General features: G+C 36.7%; 1 annotated feature.

The window, feature by feature from the left end:
* Nucleotides 999-1,631: an enhancer, noted in NCBI's record as "OCT4-NANOG-H3K27ac hESC enhancer chr2:118041429-118042061 (GRCh37/hg19 assembly coordinates)". NCBI's record gives its function as "activates a minimal SCP1, AML or CMV promoter by ChIP-STARR-seq in primed H9 embryonic stem cells {active_cell/tissue: H9 hESC(primed)}" and the evidence as "EXISTENCE:reporter gene assay evidence [ECO:0000049][PMID:30033119]".

The raw sequence follows: 5,498 nt of genomic DNA on the forward strand, positions 1-5,498 counted from the left end.
CAGTGTTCCATCTGCTATTCTACTACTCCTCAGGGATTATTCAGTCCCTCTCCCTTCCCTACACATCAAGCTCGAGGATTTGCCCCACCCAGGACTGGCAAATTAGCTTTACTCAACATGCTTGAGTCAGATAACTAAAATACCTCTTAGTCTGGAGGTATTTTAGTTACTGGATAGGTACTGGCCTTTCCTACAGGGTCTGAGAAGGCCACCACAGTCATTTCTTCCCTTCTATCAGACATAATTCCTCACTTTAGCCTTCCCATCTCAATACAGTCTGATAACAGATGAGCCTTTATTAGTCAAATCAGCCAAGCAGTTTTTCAGGCTCTTAGTGTTCAGTGAAACCTTTATATCCCTTATGGTCCTCCATCTTCAAGAAAAGTAGAATGAACTAAAGGTCTTTTAAAAACACACCTCACCAAGCTCAGCCACCAACTTTAAAAGGACTGGACAATACTTTTACCACTTTACCTTCTCAGAATTCAGGCCTGTCCTCAGAATGCTACAGGTTACAGCCCATTTGAGCTCCTGTATGGACACTCCTTTTTATTAGGCCCCAGTCTGATTCCAGACACCGGACCAACTTAGACTGTGCCCGAAAAAACTTGTCATCCCTAGTATCTTCTGTCTAGTCATACTCCTATTCACCGTTCTCAACTACTCATACATGCCCTGCTCTTGTTTACACTGCCGGTTTACACTGTTTTTCCAAGCCATCACAGCTGATATCTCCTGGTGCTATCCCCAAACTGCCACTCTTAACTCTTGAAGTAAATAAATAATCTTTGCTGGCAGGACTAAGCCGAATCTCCTTAAGCACTCTCTAATCAGATATCCTGAGTCATCCCAATTCTTAGACCTTTTATACCTGTTTTTCTCCTTCTGATATTCCATTTAGTTTTTCAATTCATACAAAACCGTATCCAGGCCATCACCAATCATTCTATATGACAAATGTTTCTTCTAACATCCCCACAATATCACCCCTTACCACAAGACCTCCCTTCAGCTTAATCTCTCCCACTCTAGGTTTGCACACCGCCCCTAATCCCGCTTGAAGCAGCACTGAGAAACATCGCCCATTCTCTCTCCATACCACCCCCCAAAAATTTTCGCCACCCCAACATTTCAACACTATTTTATTTTTCTTATTAATATAAGAAGGCAGGAATGTCAGGCCTCTGAGCCCAAGCCAAGCCATCGCATCCCCTGTGACTTGCACCTATATGCCCAGATGACCTGAAGTAACTGAAGAATGACAAAAGAAGTGAATATGCCCTGCCCCACCTTAACTGATGACATTCCACCACAAAAGAAGTGTAAATGGCCGGTCCTTGCCTTAACTGATGACATTACCTTGTGAAAGTCCTTTTCTTGACTCATCCTGGCTCAAAAACACCCCCACTGAGCACCTTGCGACCCCCACTCCTGCCCACTGAGCACCTTGTGACCCCCACTCCTACCCGCCAGAGAACAAACCCCCTTTGACTGTAATTTTCCTTTACCTACCCAAATCCTATAAAACAGCCCCACCCTTATCTCCCTTCGCTGACTCTCTTTTCAGACTCAGCCCGCCTGCACCCAGGTGAGATAAACAGCCATGTTGCTCACACAAAGCCTGTTTGGTGGTCTCTTCACACGGACGCGCATGAAATTAAACACTTTCGATTTTGAAAAATATCACATTTCTGAGGAACCTGTAAGAGGATAAATTTTAGGTTTTCAAAAGATAATGGGAAATTTCAGGAAACAAACAGATGTTGAGAATTTAATATACTTAATTTTAGATCTAAGTCTGAAACAAAGGTGAAGACATGGGGAGAAAGAATAATACGTAAAGGCTATATTTTGAAATAGTAAAAAGAATGGTAGTAAAATACAGAAGAAGTAAGAAGAAAGAAAAAGTAGAACAAGTCAATTTATTGTTATAAAGGAAATAGGTGGAAGCAAAGGATACTATTTAAAACTGACATGCTAGGTAATAAAATATAAAGTAAAAATTTAAAAATTGAGAGCATTATAAAAAATAAATGTATTCATTAAGCAAAAATAGAAGCTTTCAACTTAAATATTTAAATATAAAAGATCCATTGAATAGAAAAATAGTTGTAGCAAATTCATTGTAATTAATATATTAATTATAAAATAAAATAATATCTCAGACAAATAAATCTGAGGAAATTCATCATCACTGGATCCATTTCATAAGAAATTCCAAAGGGAGTTCTTCAATCTGAAAGAAAAGAACACCAATGTGAAAAAAGAAAACTTTCGAAGATATAAAACTAACTCAAAAAAGTAGATTCACAGATACATTCAGAATACTCTAATACTAATTGTGGTACGTAATCCACTGATATCTTTAGTAGGGAGACTGAAAGGCAAATCTATAGAAAAGAATAGTAACTACAGCAACCTCTTAAGACAGGGAATATAAAAAGCTGTAAATTGAGACAACAAAAAGTCAAAATGTTGAGAGGATGAGGTTAAAGTGTTGAGCATTTTAGTTTTTCCTCTGTTTCTTTTTTGTGTGATCAAAATTATCATCTATTTAAAATAACTTATAATTTCTATAAAATGTTTCTGTAAGCCTCGTAGCAGCCACAAAACAAAAACCCGTAACAGATACACTAAACATAAAAAGCAATGAATTAAAACATAATACCAGAAAAAAAAATCACATAACTGCAAAGGAAGACAGTAAGGAAAAATTTAAAAAATTAAAAAAAAAGAAGAAGCAGCAAGAGTTACAAAACAACCAAAAAATGAAAATAAAATAAAAATTAACAAATAGCAATAGTAAGTCCCTACCTGCTAATAACATTAAATGTAAAGGGGCAAAATTCACTAATTGAAAGATACAGAGTTGCTGAATTAATTAAGAAAAGAAAACAAGGCCCAACTATTATATGCTGCCTGCAAGTAACTCACTTTTCTTATAAAGACAGAAACTGAAAGTGAAGAGATAAAAAAAGGTATTCCATACACATAGAGACCCCAAAAGAGAAGGAATAGCAGTGCTTATGCCAAATAAAATAGACTTCAAATCATTACTGTAAAGAAAGACAAAAAAGTCACTATATAATGATAAAGGGGTCAGTTTGAGAGGATGTAGCAACTGTAAATATATGTGCACCCAAAAACAGAGCACCCAAAATATAGAGCAAACGTTAATAGATCTAAAGATTGAGCTAGATTGCATTATAATAATAGTTGGGGACTTCAACACCCCCTTACAGAATAAACAAATCATCCAGAGATATAAAAACAAAGAAACATAGGAGTTAAATGATACTCTAGACCAAATGAATCTAGCTGACTTTTACAGAATATTTCATCTAACTGTGTCAGAATACACATTCTTCTCATGAACACATAAAACATTTTCCAGAATACTGTATTTGTTAGGACACAAAAAAATGTCTGAACACATTTTTAAGAAGTTGAAATAATTACAGTGTTTTATTCTGACCACAGTGGAAAATTAAAACTCAATAACAAGAGGAATGTAGGACACTACAAATACACGGAAATTGGCCACGCGTGGTGGCTCACGCCTGTAATCCCAGCACTTTGGGAGGCCGAGGCGGGCGGATCATGAGGTCAGCAGATCGAGACCATCCCGGCTAACACGGTGAAACCCCGTCTCTACTAAAAAAAAGAATACAAAAATTAGCCGGGCGTGGTGGCGGGCGCCTGTAGTCCCAGCTACTCAAGAGGCTGAGGCAGGAGAATGGTGTGAACTCGGGAGGTGGAGCTTGCAGTGAGCTGAGATCACACCACTGCACTCCAGCCTGGGTGACAGAGTGAGACTCCATCTCAAAAAAAAAAAAATACACGGAAATTAAGCAACATGCTTCTGAATGATCAATGAATGAAACAAAAAATTAAGTTGGAAATTGTAAAATGTTTTGAAACAAATACAAACAGAAACAGCACTCCAAAATGCATGGAATACAGCCAATGCAGTACTAAAATGCAATTTTATAGCAATAGGTGCATAAAGAAGACAATTAGAAAGATTTCAAATTTAAAAAATACTAACAATGCACATAACCTAACCATGCACCTCAAGGAAGTAGAAAAGCAAGAAGAAACCAAATCCAACATAAGTTGAAGGAAATAAACAATAAAGGTCAGAGCAGGAATAAATAAAATCGAGACTAAAAGATACAACAAAAATCAACAAAATTAAAAGTTCTGTTTTTGAAAAGGTAAAAATAATTGAAAATCCTTTCTAAACTAAGAAAAAGAGAGGGAAGACCAAAATAAATAAAATCAGAAATTAGAAAGAAGATGTAACAACAGATACCACAGAAATACAAAAGACTACTAGAGACTATTAAAAACAACCCTATGTCAACAAATTGGAAAACCTCTAGGTTGAATAAATTCCTGGACATATACAACCTCCCAAGACTGAACCAGGAATAAATAAAAAACATAAGTAACAAGATCAAAAGTGTAATAAAAAGTCTGTCAGAAAAGAAAAGCCCAGGACCTAATGGCTTCACAACCAAATTCTACAAACATTTAAATAAGAACTAATACAAATTTTATTCAAACTATTCCCCAAAAAAAGAAGAGGAGACAATATTTCTACACTTGTTGTACAAGACCAACCTTATCCTAATACCAAAATAGAACTTAAGAAAAAAGAAGGTGGGGCGTGGTGGCTCATGCCTGTAACCCCAACACTTTGGGAGGCCAAGGTGGGCGGATCACCTGAGGTCAGGAGTTTGAGACCAGCCTGGCCAACATGGCAAAACCCCGTCTTTACTGAAAAAATACAAAAATTAGCCAGGCGTGGTGGTGGGTGCCTGTAGTCCCAGCTACTCGGGAGGCTGAGGCAGGAATATTGCTTGAACCCAGGAGGCGGAGGTTGCAGTGAGACGAGATCGCGCCACTACACTCCAGCCTGGGCGACAGAGTGAGGCTCCGTCAAAAAAAGAAAAAAAGAAAAAGATAAAATAAAACTACAGGCCAGGATTCTTGATGGACATAGATGTAAAAATCTTCAACAAAATAATAGCAAAGCAATCACAAAAACATATTAAAAAGATCAATCACCAGGATCAAGTAGAGAGTCAAGGATAATTCAACATGTGTAAATGCATAAACATGATACATCACATTAACAGAATCAAGGGCAAAAACCATGTAATCATTTCAATAGATGCTGAAAAATTATTCAAAAAAATTCAACATTTTTATGATAAAAAGTTTCAATGAACTGAGTATGAAAGAAACATACCTCAATACAGTAAAGGCTATATAGGATAAACTTACAGCTTACATCACACTGAACAGGAAAAAAATGAAAGCTGTTTCTCTAAGTTTTGGAACAAGACAAAGATGCCCACTTTCATCATTTTTATTCAATATACTGGAAGTCCTAGCCAAAACAATTAGGCAAGAGATAGAAATAAAGGACATCCAAATTGGAAAAGGAAAAAATCAAATTATCCTTGATTGCAGACAACATAATTTTACAT

This window comes from Homo sapiens, chromosome 2 (genome assembly GCF_000001405.40).
Source record: "Homo sapiens chromosome 2, GRCh38.p14 Primary Assembly".
Lineage (NCBI taxonomy): Eukaryota > Metazoa > Chordata > Mammalia > Primates > Hominidae > Homo > Homo sapiens.